The sequence below is a fragment of the Homo sapiens genome, chromosome 5, assembly GCF_000001405.40.
Source record: "Homo sapiens chromosome 5, GRCh38.p14 Primary Assembly".
Classification (NCBI taxonomy): domain Eukaryota; kingdom Metazoa; phylum Chordata; class Mammalia; order Primates; family Hominidae; genus Homo; species Homo sapiens.
In genome coordinates this window covers 141,620,881-141,638,726 of record NC_000005.10, presented here as the reverse complement: position 1 = coordinate 141,638,726, position 17,846 = coordinate 141,620,881, and the positions used below count along the sequence as shown (strand labels likewise).

At 47.3% G+C, this 17,846-nt stretch overlaps 2 protein-coding genes across 16 annotated transcripts in view, besides 6 other annotated features; one reads left to right on the top strand and one right to left on the bottom strand.

Annotated features, from left to right (window-relative positions):
- RELL2 (RELT like 2) overlaps nucleotides 1-1,730 on the bottom strand; it is a 4,068-nt gene extending 2,338 nt beyond the window's left edge. For 3 of the 6 annotated variants that reach the window (XM_005268414.5, XM_047417113.1, NM_001130029.2), the window contains exons 1-2: nucleotides 986-1,730; nucleotides 318-557 (exon numbers count right to left, since the gene is read on the bottom strand). In XM_005268414.5, coding sequence (XP_005268471.1) covers nucleotides 318-501 — 184 coding nt within the window. In that variant the 5' untranslated portion in view covers nucleotides 502-557; nucleotides 986-1,730. Of the gene's footprint in view, nucleotides 1-317 lie in introns of all 6 variants that reach the window. The other 3 variants (XM_011537625.4, NM_173828.5, XM_011537624.3) reach the window with 2 other exon arrangements.
- Nucleotides 322-441: an enhancer, noted in NCBI's record as "active region_23311". NCBI's record gives its function as "activates an Ori minimal core promoter by ATAC-STARR-seq in GM12878 lymphoblastoid cells {active_cell/tissue: GM12878}" and the evidence as "EXISTENCE:reporter gene assay evidence [ECO:0000049][PMID:35858748]".
- Nucleotides 1,142-1,191: an enhancer, noted in NCBI's record as "active region_23310". NCBI's record gives its function as "activates an Ori minimal core promoter by ATAC-STARR-seq in GM12878 lymphoblastoid cells {active_cell/tissue: GM12878}" and the evidence as "EXISTENCE:reporter gene assay evidence [ECO:0000049][PMID:35858748]".
- Nucleotides 1,702-1,991: a silencer, noted in NCBI's record as "silent region_16458". NCBI's record gives its function as "represses an Ori minimal core promoter by ATAC-STARR-seq in GM12878 lymphoblastoid cells {active_cell/tissue: GM12878}" and the evidence as "EXISTENCE:reporter gene assay evidence [ECO:0000049][PMID:35858748]".
- On the top strand, nucleotides 1,878-17,846 carry HDAC3 (histone deacetylase 3). Of its 10 annotated transcripts, none has more exons than NR_149168.2 (15): nucleotides 1,878-1,991; nucleotides 2,097-2,179; nucleotides 3,774-3,916; nucleotides 8,602-8,683; nucleotides 8,811-8,867; nucleotides 8,988-9,043; nucleotides 9,421-9,554; nucleotides 10,088-10,168; nucleotides 10,515-10,613; nucleotides 10,770-10,834; nucleotides 12,444-12,533; nucleotides 12,656-12,714; nucleotides 12,963-13,042; nucleotides 13,362-13,519; nucleotides 17,190-17,846. NR_149168.2 is itself a non-coding variant. In NM_003883.4 (15 exons), exons 1-15 carry the CDS (start codon nucleotides 1,937-1,939, stop codon nucleotides 17,257-17,259), a joined length of 1,287 nt encoding a protein of 428 aa, NP_003874.2. In that variant the 5' UTR covers nucleotides 1,878-1,936; the 3' UTR covers nucleotides 17,260-17,846. The 10 variants fall into 10 exon arrangements, 4 of the variants coding, with proteins under 4 accessions (NP_003874.2, NP_001341970.1, NP_001341968.1 ...); NM_003883.4 differs by having other exon boundaries at nucleotides 10,540-10,613; NR_149165.2 differs by lacking the exon at nucleotides 3,774-3,916.
- Nucleotides 2,052-2,101: a silencer, noted in NCBI's record as "silent region_16457". NCBI's record gives its function as "represses an Ori minimal core promoter by ATAC-STARR-seq in GM12878 lymphoblastoid cells {active_cell/tissue: GM12878}" and the evidence as "EXISTENCE:reporter gene assay evidence [ECO:0000049][PMID:35858748]".
- Nucleotides 2,111-2,405: a silencer, noted in NCBI's record as "tiled region #64; K562 Repressive DNase unmatched - State 1:Tss". NCBI's record gives its function as "represses a minimal TATA promoter and a strong SV40 promoter by Sharpr-MPRA in K562 cells {active_cell/tissue: K562}" and the evidence as "EXISTENCE:reporter gene assay evidence [ECO:0000049][PMID:27701403]".
- Nucleotides 4,429-4,558: an enhancer, noted in NCBI's record as "active region_23309". NCBI's record gives its function as "activates an Ori minimal core promoter by ATAC-STARR-seq in GM12878 lymphoblastoid cells {active_cell/tissue: GM12878}" and the evidence as "EXISTENCE:reporter gene assay evidence [ECO:0000049][PMID:35858748]".

The window sequence follows — 17,846 nt, the reverse complement described above, 5'->3', positions numbered from 1 at the left end:
TCCCATCATTTATTGCTTAGGACATACCCTTTTACCTACTTGCTATCATGCTGGACCTCAGCATTTCAGGGACCAGAAAAGATGGGGACACCAATGCAAGCCCAAGACTACCATCCAGAGGACCGTTCCTGCCCATGCTGCTTTCTCTAGTTTTGCTTTCAGAGTGGTGTCACCCCACTTGCTAACTCAAGAGTGCATCACTAGGCTTCCTGAGCAGGTTTGATCAGGATTTGGCCTGGGTCTGTTGGTCAGGGAGGCAGAGGTGTGGGGAGAAGGGTGAAAGGTGACTGAGCCAGGGTTCCAGGCTCCTCACTCACGGGGCTGAAGCTGGGCATCGTCAGGCTCAGAGCCCCTCGACGTGCGGCAGCGGTAGCCCTTCTTCTTGAGCACGTGGCAGATCATGAAGCCTACCAGGCCCATGAGGAAGAAGACCAGCACAAGCAGGAAGAGCATATATAGCCCATGTTGGGGCGGTTCCAGGTCAGGCTGTGGTTCCGACATGAGGCCCTGGGGGGCGAGCGCGGGCCAGGGCGCCTCCTGGGTTTAGGGGGCTGCAGCTGGGAATGGGGGAGGGGTAGGAATGCCGTCCTCAGGATCTGAAACAAGCACGTCTAAGACGTCCGGCTGAGGTCCGGCCCCACCCCCTACCCAACCAGGGAGCTGTCCGGGCCAGGAGTGCTGTTTCGCCTTTCGGCAAGAGGTCAGCGGCAACGCAAGCTCTCTACCACGACCCTGGTCCCGCTTCCCCGACGCCCCGAGCGTTCCCCTTTCCAGCTTGTTCGCGCTTCTGTCCCTCCCAAGGACACTGCAGCACGAGATGGGACGGCATTCTTAGGCGGCGGGAGCAGAAATCCTGCCTGAGTCAGCGCCCGCACCTCCTCCACGCCGGCCTGAGCCAGGCCTCTGCAGCCCCTTCCTCTCAGTACTCCCGCACCCCTCTCCCTTTTTGGTTTCTCCCACCCTGACCACCTGGCCGACCCGGTACCGGTGATTTGGTTCTGGTTCCGGCTTCTGCTGGGGTTCCGGCTCCAGGGGCGTCCTAGTGCGGCTCAGGGCCCCCGACGCCCTTCCGGCGCTCATCCCTTGATTCCTCCCCTCCCCCTTCGCCGCCTCACCGGCCCCGGGCTGTGGCTGCGGATACCCGCGCCGTGGCAGGCGGGGGGAGGGAAGAACAGAGAAGGATGCGGGCTGGCTGAGAGCGGTGGCAGGCTCCGGGCAACTCCGGCCCTGGGTCAGGGAGATCGCCTCCGCAGCCGCCCTGGCTTCCCAAATGCCTTCACCCGTCGCGGGCCCAGGACCAGGGGGCGGAGCGCAGGTGTGCGGGGCGGAGAGCGTGAGCTCTGCGCGCGCGTGACTGCGCCGGGCCCCCCCGGGGCAATGTGCGGCGCCGAGTCTGGGTCCGGGTAGGGGACAGGCGGTCCGGCGTGGGTGTTGTCCACTGGTCTATCCGGTACGCCTGGCGCAGCTCCTGCCCTCAGATGCCCCGACCGAGCGGAGAGTCAGGAATCTTCTCCGAGGGCTGGGGGAAGCCGGCTTTCCGCACCTTTGAGGGACGGAGTGGCGGGATCTTCGGAGCTTCCTAGAGAAGTGACCACGGCCTGCGCCCGGTTTGGGGCAAGCGGCTGGATGGGATGGCTCGGCTTCCCGAGGATCTGACCCCCGGCCGGAGACAAATGGCCCTCGCATCCTAGGAGCTATGCTGCCAGTTCCCTGCCCAACCCGGGACGCTCAAAGCCCCAGATACCGGGAGAGCTGAGCCGGGCGAGGGGCGGAGCTCCCCTGGGGGCGTGGCCTGGGTGTGGATGGAGGCGGGGCCGCAACGCCCAGTTCCGCAGAGGCCGGCTACGTGCTTGCGCAGCACGCACGGCCGGGGAGGGGCTGGCGGCGGCCGCGGGCGGCGGGCGGCGGAGGTGCGGGGCCTGCTCCCGCCGGCACCATGGCCAAGACCGTGGCCTATTTCTACGACCCCGACGTGGGCAACTTCCACTACGGTGAGGAAACAGGGATATGCATGAGGGGTTGGGACACGGAGGTTTTGAGGCGGGGTTGCAACTCCAGGGGTGAGAGCTGACGAACTCTCTTCTCCCCACCCCCAGGAGCTGGACACCCTATGAAGCCCCATCGCCTGGCATTGACCCATAGCCTGGTCCTGCATTACGGTCTCTATAAGAAGATGATCGTGAGTTCCGCCGCCTCGGCCGGGGGTTGGGGGGTGGGGCGAGCTGTGGCCGTAGGGATAGGTGGGCTGGACTGAGTGCATGAAGTGCGACCCGCCCCTAGAGTATCGGGGAGCTGGATAGAAGTCACCAGGAGTACCTTGAAAGTGCAGGGTGTTGGGGGTGGCGTCCTCTGCTTAATGGAAAGTACTTTCTCACCTCAGGTCGGCCACCCTCTGACTGTAGGCACACTAGCCCTTGGCCTAGGGTTAGCGTGATGTGGGGCTGGTTTGAAGACAGAAGGTGTGTTCCTCCTCTGCATTTTAGAGTGTGGATAGGGCCTTGGCCTCAGGAATTAGGGTTAGGGGAGCGGATATCACTGTATCAGGGTGTGAGGTTTACCCTCAGTTCCCACTCCTCTTTTACCACCTTTCTTTACCTCCAAGGAGCTAGGGCTCCAGGGTGGAACGATGCTGCCGTCTTTGTAAATGTGTATGTGCGTGTGGAACAGAGGCGATATTTTAGATATTCCTTTTTCAGCCTGGAATACCTCTACATGGTTCTGCTTAATCGCTATCCAGTTTTTCATCTACCAGACATACACATGCTGTCTTCCCAGCTTGGAATTTATGGCTGTGATATGGGATAGTAACAGTTAAGCCACGCCAGGCGTGGTGGCCCATGCCTGTAATCCCAGCACTTTGGGAGGTTGAAATGGGGGGGATCGCTTGAGGCCAGGAGTTGGAGACCAGCTTGGGCCACAGTGGGACCCACATCTACAAAAAATAAAAATAAAAAAAGTAGCCATGTGCGGTGGGTGTGCCTGTAGTCCCAACTACTTGGGAGGCCGAGGCGAGAGGATGGCTTGGGCCCAGGAGTTTAAAGTTACAGTGATCTATGATCAGCAGCCTGAGTTGACAGGGAGGACCTTGTCTCAAAAGAAAAAATAAGACAAAACAGCTAAACCCAGGCTTTATGTGTTGCTAGGGAAACTAGTGAACAATATGAATGAATGTTCATTGCTTGTGCCAAGGCACAGACAAATGGACTGGTCATAGAAAAGACTGAGGTGATGTTAGTGCAGGAATCTATATCCCTTGAGATTGTTTGCCTGTATGTACCTGTGTGCATTTTCTGGGAGAAGAAAAGCTCTTTCTTGTGCAGTTTTCAAAGAGGTGTGACACATCCCCCTGACCTTCCAAAGATAATAAATCTTTGATTTTAATTAGAAAGTTGACATATATCCCATATATTTGACTCCAGAAAGAAGAATCCAGAGGAAAGAGGACAGAATCAGAGCTTGGGGGAGGAGATGAGCATGGAGAGAACTGGGAATAGGAGATTCCAAGGAACAGGGCAGGTGGATCAGGGCTCAAAGTTGAGAAGGTACGATAGGCTGAGCTGGAGGTGGAAAGGAAAAGAAGTGGTCTTCAGGGGGCTCATTTGTAATAACTTACCTGGTTAATCGGAGTCTCTCTACTGACTTAAGGATTGTGGGATGAGGGGAATGCTATGTTTGGCTTCATATAGTCTCCAGGACTGGGTTCAGTATGGGTGGTCTGAGCCTGTGGAGTGGGGCTGACCCTGCCTGGGTTCATCTTGTGTCTCCATCCCGAGGTCTTCAAGCCATACCAGGCCTCCCAACATGACATGTGCCGCTTCCACTCCGAGGACTACATTGACTTCCTGCAGAGAGTCAGCCCCACCAATATGCAAGGCTTCACCAAGAGTCTTAATGCCTTCAACGTAGGCGATGACTGGTGAGGGAGGACTGGGAGTTTTGATGTCTAACAGTTTAATGCCAAGCCCTTCAGTGAGGTCTTTTGGCAGCAGTGGGAAGATCTCAAGGGGGGCCTACTTGTCAATGCATCATAATTCATTTTATTTGTTTATTCAATAAATATTTATTGGTCACTTGTTCTAGGCAGGCCCTGTGCTAAGTGCTGGGAATGCAGTGATGAACAAAAACAAAATTTTAATATCGTATTTTTGCTAAGTCTTATAAAGAGGAGGTGTATGACAGATTATGAGAGTGTATACGTGGAGGATTGTTTAGCTTGGTGGAGTGGCTGGTCGGTGGGGCCTTCCTAGAGGAAGTAAAGATTGAGCTGAGATCTGAAAAAAGAGTAGAAGTAATCAGATGAAAGATGGTTGGAGGGTGAGGGGAGAAGTATAGCAGGCAGTAGGGACAAGTGCTAAGGGTCTGTGGTAGGACTGAGTATGACTCATTTGAGGAACAGAAAAAAGGCCAAGTGCAGAGTATGAAGAGGAGGTGAACTGAATTGAGGCTAAAGAAATAGGACCTTTTAAAAGCAAACAGCTCTATTATGAATTGGGGTTTTTACCCGTAGAGTAGAGGGAAGCTATCAAAGTGTTTTAAAAAGCAAGGGATCTTAAGAGGGCTATGGGCAGTTAAAAAAACAAAAAAAACAACGAAGGAGTGGTTTGATATCATTAGGTTTACATTGAGCTTGTATCATCCATAGAAGAGTCAGGGTTAGACCCTCTGGGGAAGAGAGTGGACAACAAAGATAAGCCACACTCTACTCTATATCCATGAAAAAATAGTAACCATCACAGCTACCAGTTGCTCAATTCTACTTACTTTTGTTTTTAAACTTTTTATTAGGGAAAATTTCAAAAATTTCTGAAAGTGAAGTAGTGCAGTGACCTCCCATACGTCCATCACCTAGCTTCAACGCTTATGAGCAAATGGCCACTCTTTTTTTTTTTTTTTTTTTTTTTGAGACAGAGTCTCACTCTGTAGCCCAGGCTGGAGTGCAGTGGTGCAGTCTTGGCTCACTGCAACCTCTGCCTCCTGGGTTCAAGCGATTCTCATGCCTCAGACTCCCGAGTAGCTGGGATTACAGGCGCCTGCCACCATGCCTGGCTAATTTTTGTATGTTTAGTAGAGATGGGGTTTCACTATGTTGGTCAGGCTGGTTTTGAACTCCTGACCTCAGGTGATCCACCAGCCTCAGCCTCCAAAAGTGCTGGGATTACAGACGTGAGCCATCGCACCCAGCTGAGCAAGTGGCCACTCTTACTTCATCTATACTCCCTCATGTTAGATTGTTTTAAAGCAGATCCTAGATGTTATATCCTTTTATCCATAAATATTTTATTATGTATCTCTAAATGATACTCTTTTAAAAAAACATAGTATCATTATCAAACCTAAAAAGTTAACAGTGATTCCTTAATGTCATCAAATATGGGATCAATATTCAAATTTCTGCAGTTGTCTCATAATTATTTTGTAGCTAATTTAAATCCAGATCTAAACAAGGTCTATACAGTGCATTTGGTTGATATGTCTCTTAAGACTTTTAATTTGTAGCTTTTCTGTCACCCCCTTGAATTTATTTCTTGAAGAAACCAGGTTGTTGATCCTGTAGAATTTCTTATGATAGCTACCATTTACTGAGTGCTTACTCTGCTAGGTATTATGCCAAGGGTTGCTGGTAAATCCACTTAATTCTCATACCAATCCTTAGATGTATTATAATAGACCTTTTTCTGATGTTATATATAAGTAAATTGAGGTTTGGGAATATCTAGGTAACTTAGCCGTAGTCACATAACTGGTCATTGGAGGGGGCATGATCCAGATCCCGGGTTTTTAAACCACTAATCTGTTTTCCTGAAAGATCTTAATGACAGAAGCAGCCAGGGCTGTAGGATAGAGGCCAACTCATTAGGCTGGCATTGGCACCTTTCCAACTTTATCCCTACACCTCAGCTGCACAGGATGCCTTCCTGGAATGCCCTTAGTTCTCTATTCAACCTCTTCAAGGCCTTCTCAGCCTTCACACCATCTCCATGAAACCTTTCTTGACCACACCAGCCCATAGAGCTCTGTCTTGCACACACTGCACTGCTCATTTGGTGTTCAGTCACATGCTGTTTGGGGAGGTTTCTTGTTTTTTTGTTAGTATTCCTGCTGTTATTTCTGAGCTCACTTTCTAGCTCTGTGAATACAGGGTCAGCCCTTACGCCACACTGGGGTCCCGTAGATGCTCTTTGTGCGATTAGGGAATGCTAATTAGAATACTATCTCTGGGCTATTTATGCTGCATCAGTCTTCCTGTCAAACAAGTTACAGTTGTGCTTATCTGTATTTCCGATGAGAATCAGGAATTTTTCTTCTGTTTAATGAATTTCTGATTGGTTTCAAAGTATTCTAACATAAGTAGCCAAATTGTACTATAGGCCTTTAAATGAAAAAAATAAAAAAGTAGTCCCAAGCCGGGCGCAGTGGCTCACGCCTGTAATCCCAGCACTTTCGGAGGCCGAGGCGGGTGGACCACCTAAGGTCAGGAGTTCAAGACCAGCCTGGCCAACATGGTGAAACCCCATCTCTACTAAAAATACAAAAATTAGTCATGTGTGGTGGCACGTGCCTGTAGTCCCAGCTACTCCAGGAGGCTGAGGCAGGAGAATTGCTTGAACCCGGGAGTTGGAGGTTGCAGTGACCTGAGATTGCACCACTGCACTCCAGCCTGGGCAACAGAGTGAGACTCTGTCTTAAAAAAAAAAAAAAAAAAAAATTCCAGACCTCTCCTTTTCACCCATAAATCCCTCTGCCCAGTGACAGCCACTTTCAGCTCCTTTCCCCTATGTCTTCTGGTATTTACCTTTGGATTTCTAAATAATAATATTAATTGACTGTTATTACTAATCTGTAATCCTTAGGTAATACCTGTTATATACTAGGTACTGTTCTAAGTGCTTTACAGCCATTAGCTTATTTAATCTCAACAACCCCTATGAAGCAGGGTCTATTATTGTTTCCTTTTACCGATGAGGACACTTAAGCACAGAAAGGTTAAACAGTTTGTACAACCTCACTATCATTAGTAGGTGTTAAAGAACCTAGGTAGTCTAGCTCCAGAATCGGTGCTTGTAATCATACTCCCCTCCTGTATTGTCTCTCATTGCTATTTCTTCGTCTGTCAATTTTAGGCATTATCTGTTAAGCTTTTAGTATGGGATATGAGCATTTAGTCTTCTTACACCATCACATTGGCTTCCTTTCCCCTTTCAGCTTCATAGTAATTTAAAAATAAATCAGTATTCTGTGTTTACATTATTATAACTCTGAAAGATTCATTTACTATCAAGCCAAATAGTGTAGTGTGATTTAATCTATTTTCTTCTAAAGCTTTTTGTTTTTCCTGGAGCTGACAATTGCATTATTTTTTCATTTGCTTAGTTTTCTGGTATTAATCACTAATTCTTTCCAAGCCTTTTGAGAAACTATAAAACCCTACAATTCTTGCTTGAACCCGGGAGGCGGAGGCTGCAGTGAGCCGAGATCGCACCATTGCACCCCAGCCTGGGCGACAGAGCAAGACCCCATCTCAAAAAACAAACAAACAAAAAACCCCTACAGTTCTGTTTTTCACATGGTCAAATGTATCAGCTGCACTATTTTTTTTTTTTGAGACCTAAAACTAGGGATTGCCTAAGCCTTTCCTTTTTAAAAAGTCAGGTTTATATAGGTATAACTTGCATACAGTAAAATTAACCTTTTTTAGGTGTAAGAGTTCTGAGAGGTTTGATAGAATATATCAAGGTATAGGGCCAGCGCCGATGGCTCACACCTGTAGTCCCAACAATTTGGGAGGCCAAGGCGGGAGGATCACTTAGGCCCAGGAGTTTGAGACCAGCTTGGGCAACATAGTGAGACCCTGTCTCTACAAAAAAAAAAAAAAAAAAGGTATCAAGGTACAGGAAATTTCCACTACCCAACAAAGGTCACTCACCCTTTTGTAGTTAATAACTTCTCTGCAACCTAGATCCAGCCAACTACTGATAAGATGTCTGTCCTTGTATTTTACCTTTTCCAGAATGTTACATAAATGGAGTCATACAGTAAGTAGGCTTTTGTGTCTGGCTTCAAGCCTTTACTTTTTATAAAGAATAACAATGGTAATAATTATAGCTGACATTTATTAAAGGCTGAGCGGATACTGTATACTGTGCTACAGGCTTTTCGTGGGTTATCTCATCACTGTTTCACATATGTAGGTATACAGTTCTTTCTTTAAAATATGTGACTGAAAAATATTATTGAACATTATGCTAAAATTTGTTACACTGAGAAGACTAAGAAAAACAGAGCTCATGTTTTCTTTCAACTGATTTCCTTTTTACATTGTACTTGAGTACCTGGAAGCTGCTTGCTTCTTTCCGCAGCTAGGATACAAACTCCCTGACAGTTAAGTGCTTCTTTACTTCCCATCCAGTGCCTTGCACAGGGCTTGGTACATGGTTTGGTCCAAAATATTTGTTGAATAAATTTGCAGATAGCCCACGTGTGTAGGAGAGGGAGAGAAGGTTCTTGAAAAATGGAGATTGGAGGAATCTAGGATGGGGAGGGAGATATGGGAAGGGCCCAGACAGAGGCAGGAGGGTTCCAACTTGTTCCTCTTCCCTGCAGCCCAGTGTTTCCCGGGCTCTTTGAGTTCTGCTCGCGTTACACAGGCGCATCTCTGCAAGGAGCAACCCAGCTGAACAACAAGGTGACATAGTCCCGAGTCCTGTTCTTCCTTTCCTCTGGATCCCTGGACTCGGGATTTAACCCTGATCCTGGGCTCCCAGCTTGAGGGGTGGGCAGGAAGGACTGTGACTTAGGTGTTTGTCTTTCAGATCTGTGATATTGCCATTAACTGGGCTGGTGGTCTGCACCATGCCAAGAAGTTTGAGGTGAGTGAGGAGGTGATGGGAAAGACAGTGGCCATCCTAGGGTAGGTGTTTAGGATGATGGTGGGGGGCAGCTGGGAGGGGAATTGCTCTTCTCTTTATGAGACCACTGTCTTGCCATAGGCCTCTGGCTTCTGCTATGTCAACGACATTGTGATTGGCATCCTGGAGCTGCTCAAGTAAGTAGCCCAGGAGGAGATGGGGGCAGTTACGGGATTCTTGGCTGAGGAGGTCTCTCAGTCTCAACCCTGACCTTGACCTCCCTCCTCCCTGATTAGCTTCTCCCAAGTTCTTGATGCTTTATTCAGGCTGCCTCTTCCACTGCTGCAGATTCCCTACTGCCTGCTCACATTTCAGCCTTCTCTGCATATCCCTCTCCTGTCCCTGCCTCTAGCCTCTAGGCTGGAGCCCCCAGTTGCCTTTAGGGAACTGGTGACATTAAGTTTCAGGTGACCAGGGCAGAAGCAGACTCTTCACAATTCGAGACCCGGTGTTTGAGAGGAGTGGGTTGGGGGGTTCACTTCTAGCTCAGACCCTGGCTTTGGCTTCCCTCTAGGTACCACCCTCGGGTGCTCTACATTGACATTGACATCCACCATGGTGACGGGGTTCAAGAAGCTTTCTACCTCACTGACCGGGTCATGACGGTGTCCTTCCACAAATACGGAAATTACTTCTTCCCTGGCACAGGTATGGGAATAGGGATTACTTTCCCCTTTGCACCCTTCAGCTCTTTACTATGAGTGCCTCCTTCTCAGCCTTCTAGTCTCATCTCAGGTGTCCCCTCCTCAGAGAAGCCTTTCCTTACCACTCCAGTTATCATAATCACCTCCTTCCCCATTCCTCTGTTACATCAGCCTCATTGTTTCCCTCAGAACACTCACTGCTATTTGTGTTTATTGTGGTTTTTTGTTTTGTTTTGTTTACTGCCTCCCTCCTCCTCATGGCTATTCCCTAAGAATATAAGCGTGGTGGGATATCGTAAATTTCATTAGTTCCATTCGTTGCTGCATCCCTACTGCCTAGTACACAGTTGGCTCAGAGTGGATCCCCCAAAACTATTTGCCCAATGAATGCAAGCTGCAAGAGATTTAGTGGCTCTAGGGAGTTTATGGTGAAGCTACATAGATGGAATGAGAGGCTCCCAGAGTGCAGATTGGGGCTGAAACAGCTGGGTTGTGGGTGCTTCCCATGTGTGGCTACCACCACCCACTTCCCTACAGGTGACATGTATGAAGTCGGGGCAGAGAGTGGCCGCTACTACTGTCTGAACGTGCCCCTGCGGGATGGCATTGATGACCAGAGTAAGTACCGAAGTCTTCCCTCTGTTCCCTAGGCCCCTTCTTTTTCTCCTTGAAATAACCTCTTCTGCCTGGTATTGTCTGCTGTTGGGCCAGTTGTCCTTAAGGATGAATGGCCTTCAGAGGGACCATGAATCTCTGGAAATTGTATGCAACATATCATGTGTATGTGCATTTTTCTGGGAAAAGTCATTGGCTTTCATCAGTCACTCATAGCAGTCTGGGATCCCTTCCAGAAGTTTCAGACCAGTGATTTGATTCTTTTGGGTGGCCCCTTTCCTGGGCTACATGCTCGCTCAACCCCCTTTTTCCTTTTGTTCCCTGTCTCCCCATCCCCTTGGGGTGCCAGGTGCCCATCTTTGGCCCTCTCCCAGGTTACAAGCACCTTTTCCAGCCGGTTATCAACCAGGTAGTGGACTTCTACCAACCCACGTGCATTGTGCTCCAGGTAATACTGTCAGTTCCTCCTCAGGAGTGTTCTGCCTGGGCTTGGGGAAAGAGAGCAAGGGAAGAGGAGGTTCTTTAGGTTGGTGGTGGAAGGGGTATCTGTGATGTTCTGATCAGTTCTGATCACTGCACTTTCCTGGGGTTTTGCTTTTTGCAGTGTGGAGCTGACTCTCTGGGCTGTGATCGATTGGGCTGCTTTAACCTCAGCATCCGAGGGCATGGGTGAGACTTGCTCTCCTTCTTCTCCCCAAGGTTTTTAAGTGGCCTTGGACTTCAGTACGTGGGTGGGGGTAGTTGGGGAATGGGCCTCACCTCTTCTTGGAAATCAAAAATAGCTACAAATTGTACTTGAACTAGAAATGTCATCTTGAACAGGGTTCCCTAGATGGTCATTCATTCACGATATATTTTTATTAAGCACCTGTTATGTTCCAGGCATCATACCACATCATGGGGATGGAATAAGGAGTCTCCCATGGAGTTTACAGTTTAGGAAACAGACAAAAAATAAATAATCAAATGAAATAAATAGATTCTTATAAATTCTGTGAAAGAAAAAAAGAAAGCTGAGACACAGGATACAATGGGGGACCTACTTGAGATAGCATGGTTTCGGAAAGTTTTTCTGAGGAAGTAAAATTTGAGTTGAGACCTGGAGACTAAGAAGGAGTGAGTCATAAGAGGAGCAGAGAGAAGCCTGACCCAAGCATGGACAAAGGCCCACAAAAGGCTCTGAGGGCTGGGCCCAGTGGCACACACCTATAATCCCAACACTTCCAGAGGCCAAGGTGGGAGAATCGCCTGAGGCTAGGAGTTTGAGGCCAGCCTGGGCAACATAGTGAGAGCCATCTCTACAGAAAATAAAAAACAAAATCAGCTGGGCATGATGGTGCATGCCTATAGTCCTAGCTACTCAGGAAGCTGAGGCAGGAGGATCACTTGAGCCTAGGAGTTTGAGGTTACAGTGAACTATGATTGTGCCACTGGACTTCAGTCTGTTGAGGTGAGGTCCGAGAAGCTGGCCATGGTGAGATTGTGCAGAGCCTTTAAACCCTGGTAAGGAGTTTGAATTATATTCCAAAGATGATGGGAAACCATTGAAGGATTTTAAGCAGGAAAGTGACATGATCCAATTTGTGTTTGAAAGTGACAATTCTGACTGCTGAATAGAGAAAGGTTTGGGTAGGGGGGATGGAGATGGAAGTAGAAAGACCAGTTAGGAAGCCATGGTGTTGGTTAGGTGCCCAGACTAAGGTGGAGGGGGTGGCAATGGAGAGAAGTAGATGATCTGAGAGGTGTGTGTGTGTGTGTGTGTATATATATATATATACACACACACACACACATATATATGTTTTTTTTTTTCTTTTTTGAGATGGAGTCTTGCTCTGTCACCCAGGCTGGAGTGCAGTGGCACGATCTTGGCTCAGTGCAAGCTCTGCCTCCTGGGTTCAAGCATTTCTCCTGCCTCAGCCTCCTGAGTAGCTGGGACTACTACAAAGGCGTGAGCACCGCGCCGGGCGTGAGTTATATTTTCAAGGCTAGAATTGACAGAACTTGGGTTGATGAGAATAGTTGATTAGCAGGCAGGGTGCCAGGGAGGGTGTTGAGCAGAACAGAGGGGGGACTGTGCTTTATTTTAAAATTTTTATTGAGACACAGCATATAAAGTATACCCAAATCTTAAGGGTATAACATAATGAATTTCACTATCAAGATAAAGATTTAGAACATTTATAGTTTTCTTGTGCTCCTTTCAGGCAATACCTAAAGGTATTTACCTTGTCTTTTGATAACCTCCTCCACATCTTCCTCTGGTTCCTTTTAACAGGGAATGCGTTGAATATGTCAAGAGCTTCAATATCCCTCTACTCGTGCTGGGTGGTGGTGGTTATACTGTCCGAAATGTTGCCCGCTGCTGGTGAGCACTCTCCTGATTTCCTCCCCTGTTGTCCAGTGTGAGCTAGGGTGTCCCTCAGATATGGCCACATGGGTCCTTCAGCCCACTTGGTCAGCCTGCTCCCCTCTGCTGGTTGGTTTCAGGACATATGAGACATCGCTGCTGGTAGAAGAGGCCATTAGTGAGGAGCTTCCCTATAGTGGTAAGGACCACCCCACAACACCCCCATAACAGGAAGGCCATTCTCACCAGATTCCAGAATGACCTGGTTTGAAGGCACATGGGAAATTTTACACTCTCAGAGCTCTGCAGACTAAACCCCTGGGCTCAGAGCAGGGAAGAGATTGGGCAGCTATTATGTAGGTGCTCTGGATGGGAAGGAAAAAGATTGGGAAGTCTTGTTAGCTGCCTTTCTCAGTCTGAGCCATACTTTCTCCTCTCCTCCCCAAGAATACTTCGAGTACTTTGCCCCAGACTTCACACTTCATCCAGATGTCAGCACCCGCATCGAGAATCAGAACTCACGCCAGGTCAGCAGCTCAGAAAAGCTGAGCACAAACTTCTCCTGAAAGGTGGAGCCCAGGAGAGGTCAAAGATGTGGGAAGTAGGAAAAACCAAAGAGAAGGAAGTTCTAAGCCATCACAGTCACTGTTATTGACTAGGAGGCAGTCCAGTTTAAAGTAGAGGCAGTTGGGGTTGGTGGGGAGGGAGAGCTATCAGTTGGGGGACCTGAACTAGAGGTACCACTGAGATGAAAACCAGTATGGTAGGGGTAAAAGGCAGCTAGGAGATTCCATGTCCTGGGAATCTCTGGAAACTGCTCACTCTGTATTCCTCATTTCCAACCAGTATCTGGACCAGATCCGCCAGACAATCTTTGAAAACCTGAAGATGCTGAACCATGCACCTAGTGTCCAGATTCATGACGTGCCTGCAGACCTCCTGACCTATGACAGGACTGATGAGGCTGATGCAGAGGAGAGGGGTCCTGAGGAGAACTATAGCAGGTCTGGGAGCAGGGACTTCAGCCTACTTTCAATAGGCTTGCTGGGGAGGTTTAAAAGGGAAAAAGTAAATGGGAAGGTATTAGTTTAATTGCCTCTGGCTTACCTCCTTTAGTCTGCTACAATTTCCTCACTCTTTTCTTTGTTATTTTTAATGACAAAAGTAACACGTATTTATTGCAAAATTTTAAAACAGCACCAAAATATGGTGTTGGCGTTCACACAATCCCAGACCTATTCCACAGGAGTAACCACTGTTAATAGTTTTTATTGTTTTGGATAGACCTTTTTCTATAGATTGCAAATATACTATTCTGTATGTACATATAAACAAACACATATACACTCATTTACAGTTTGTGTGGTTTTTGGTTTTTCGTAAATACAAATAGGGTCATTCTACGTATGCTGCTTTACATCATATAGCTGTTTTCAGCTAGCTAATATAGATCTGCTTCAGTATTTTATCAGCTGTATAATAATTTACTATGTGGATAGATTATTTTCCATTTTTTTGGTATTACAATAATAATGTGGCAATGAACCCCCTTACATTATACATCTTTGCATTCTTGTTTGAGTGGGTTAGATAGTAGAATGGTTGCTGCTAGGTCAAAGGCTGTGTGCATTAATTTTTTTTTTTTTTTTTTTTTTGAGACAGGGTCTCATTCTGTCACCCAGGCTGGAGTACAGTGGCATGATTATAGCTCACTGCAATCTTGAACTCCTGGGTTCAAGCGATCCTCCTGCCTCAGCCCCTCGAGTAGCTGGAATCATAGGTGTGCACCACGACACCTGGCTAATTTTTTTTTTTTTTTTTTTTTTTTTTTTTTTTTTTGGTAGAGACGGAGTCTTGCCTTGTTGCCCAGGCTGGTCTCAAACTCCTGGGCTCAAATGTCCTCCTGCCCCAGCCTTCCAAAGTGCTGGGATTATAGGCGTGAGCCACTGAGCCTGGCCTAAAATTTTTTATATTTGCTGCCAAATTGCCGTCCAGAAAGTCTGTAGCACCCTATAGTCTTGCCAGCATTTTTCTCAGTCTTTCCAGGTCTTGAGCTGGACAGGTCACTGCCTGCGTAATACTCTCTAAGGCTCTTTGATTTCTTTGCTCTGTTAATTTTTTCGGGTGGGATAATTGCATTGTGGTTATGTTTTTTTTTTTTTTTTAAAAGTCTTTATCTTTCTGAGATACATACAAAATATTTGTAGATGGAATGAATTAGGGGGGAAAAAGGATAGGATGGAATTTTTTTTTAATCCCAAAACTTTGCTGAAAAATGAAAGGGAAAGACAACAGAACCAAGAAGTGCAGAAACAGATGCACTTAATGGGGAACAGATTTCCTTACATGACTGAGGGATAACCACAGCTGGACACTTGTGGGACACGCTGTCTTGCTCCCACGCAGGGTTAGAGGTTTGAGCCGGCTCTGCTGCAGAGCCTGATGGGCTTCTCAGCCCCTTCTAGAATCTGCTTCTGTCTTAGAATTCAGGCCTCCGAATCTCTCCTCTGGACCTGGGCTTTACTGCTCTGACTCTTGGGGATCTCTGCAACTCTCTTCCTCCAAGGATATCCCCCGATCCCTTCTGAGTGAGGAAGTGTCTGAACATCTGGAAGTGTCTGGCTTCAGGGCTTCCAGGACTATTGGAAATTGCTTTTCATTGTCTGGTTTGGTTTGGTAAAACCTGTTTTTAAGTTCTTCCTTTTGGGTTTTTTATCAATAGCTCCAGGCTGGCATCTGGACCTAGTCTCTGCATTATAATAATACCAAGCCCTGTCACAGCCAGCAGAAGCCTCAGGCCTCTTCCTGTTCCTAAGCCCTACCTCTCTGTCAGGCCACCCACTGAGTTTCTGTTCTTCTTTGATGCCTATAGCTCCAGCTTGCATATGACTTGCAGAGTAGAAATAGGAAGAGTTACCACTTTTTGTAGGTTTGCCAAGCACCAGACACTACTAAGTGCTATCTATTACAACATATATATGATCATTCTGTTGCCATCAGACAACTCTGATGGCTCTTATTTTCAGATTAACACGGGAGGAATCTAAGGCTCAGAGAGTCTAAGTAACTTTCTTTCTTTCTTTTTTTTGAGACGGAGTTTCGCTCTTTTTGCCCAGGCTGGAGTGCAATGGCATGATCTCAGCTCACCACAACCTCTGCCTCCCGGGTTCAAGCGATTCTCCTGCCTTAGCCTCCCAAGTAGCTGGATTACAGGCATGAGCCTCCACGCCTGGCTAATTTTTTTTGTATTTTTAGAAGAGATGGGGTTTCTCCATGTTAGTCAGGCTGGTCTCGAACTCCTGACCTCAGGTGATCTGCCTGCCTCGGCCTCCCAAAGTGCTAGGATTACAGGCTACAGGTGTGAGCCACCGCCCCCGGCGAGACTTAAGTAACTTTCTGAAGGTCACATGGCTAGTTAAAGATCAGGGCTGAGATTCAACCTGATTCTCTGACTCCACACCTTTAACCCTGTGCACTTAGAAGTAACTGAGACATTGCTCACCATGCAGATAAGGCCTTTCCTGGCTTAGTGCCTCAGCTTCTCTTTGATGACTTTCTCAATTCTCTGTGTCCCAGAGAATACTTTTTCTTTTCTTTCTTTTTTTTTTTTGAGATGGAGTCTCACTCTGTTGCCAGGCTGGAGTGCAGTGGCTAATCCCGGCTCACTGCAACCTCCGCCTCCCAGGTTCAAGCGATTCTCCTGCCTCAGCCTCCTCAGTAGCTGAGATTACAGGCATGTGCCACCACACCCGGCTAACTTTAGTATTTTTAGTAGAGACGGGGTTTCACCATGTTGGCCAGGATGGTCTTGATCTCTTGACCTTGTGATCCACCTGCCTTGGCCTCCCAAAGTGCTGGGATTACAGGTGTGAGCTACCACGCCCGGCTTTTGAGAATACTTTTTCAAAAAGAAAGAAACCAATATTGAGTACCTGTTGGGCCCTGTTTTGCTTTCACATCCATTCTTTCACTATGGGTTTATAATACCACGTCACTCTTCTTAAAATTAAAACTCTCCTTTACCTTGCACTTAGAAGAAAATCCAAAATTTTGACTGTGGCTTAAAAAGGTCCTGCATGCTAGCCCTTACCTACATCCAGGATCTCATCTCTAACTACTCTCCTCCATGCACAGTGCTCCCGGCTGTCCTGGCCTCCTTGTTCTTACTGGAATACATCAGTCTCTTTCCATTTCATGACCTCTGTAGTTGGTTTTCTTGCAGCTTGGAATGGCCTTCCTGAAGTCTTTGCCTGCTTAGCTCCTCCTCAGACTTTAGGTCTTATGTCCCAATAGTCCTGTCTGAAATTTCACCCTTTTCCTCTCATCACCTTCAGTCCTATCACTTCATTTTATTAATTGTACTCTCCATCATCTGAAATTATTATATTTATTTACTTTGTTAGTTACTAGTCTCATTTATTAGGTAAGCTTTTTGAGGATAGACAACCTTGTCCAGCTTGTTACTCTACTGTATTGCTAAGGTTTATGACAGTGTCTGTATAGAGTAGTTCCTTAATGTTTATTTGATACGTGAATGGGTGAATGAATAGCAGTCTCTACCAACAAGAGGAGGAGTGGTTCTCAACGGGGCCTGAGAAATGGCTTTGGAAAAGGGTGCTGGGAGAAGATTAGAACTTAGAGTGAGATCCTGACCTCTCTCCCCTTGCTTTGCAGGCCAGAGGCACCCAATGAGTTCTATGATGGAGACCATGACAATGACAAGGAAAGCGATGTGGAGATTTAAGAGTGGCTTGGGATGCTGTGTCCCAAGGAATTTCTTTTCACCTCTTGGTTGGGCTGGAGGGAAAAGGAGTGGCTCCTAGAGTCCTGGGGGTCACCCCAGGGCTTTTGCTGACTCTGGGAAAGAGTCTGGAGACCACATTTGGTTCTCGAACCATCTACCTGCTTTTCCTCTCTCTCCCAAGGCCTGACAATGGTACCTATTAGGGATGAGATACAGACAAGGATAGCTATCTGGGACATTATTGGCAGTGGGCCCTGGAGGCCAGTCCCTAGCCCCCCTTGCCCCTTATTTCTTCCCTGCTTCCCTCGAACCCAGAGATTTTTGAGGGATGAACGGGTAGACAAGGACTGAGATTGCCTCTGACTTCCTCCTCCCCTGGGTTCTGACTTCTTCCTCCCCTTGCTTCCAGGGAAGATGAAGAGAGAGAGATTTGGAAGGGGCTCTGGCTCCCTAACACCTGAATCCCAGATGATGGGAAGTATGTTTTCAAGTGTGGGGAGGATATGAAAATGTTCTGTTCTCACTTTTGGCTTTATGTCCATTTTACCACTGTTTTTATCCAATAAACTAAGTCGGTATTTTTTGTA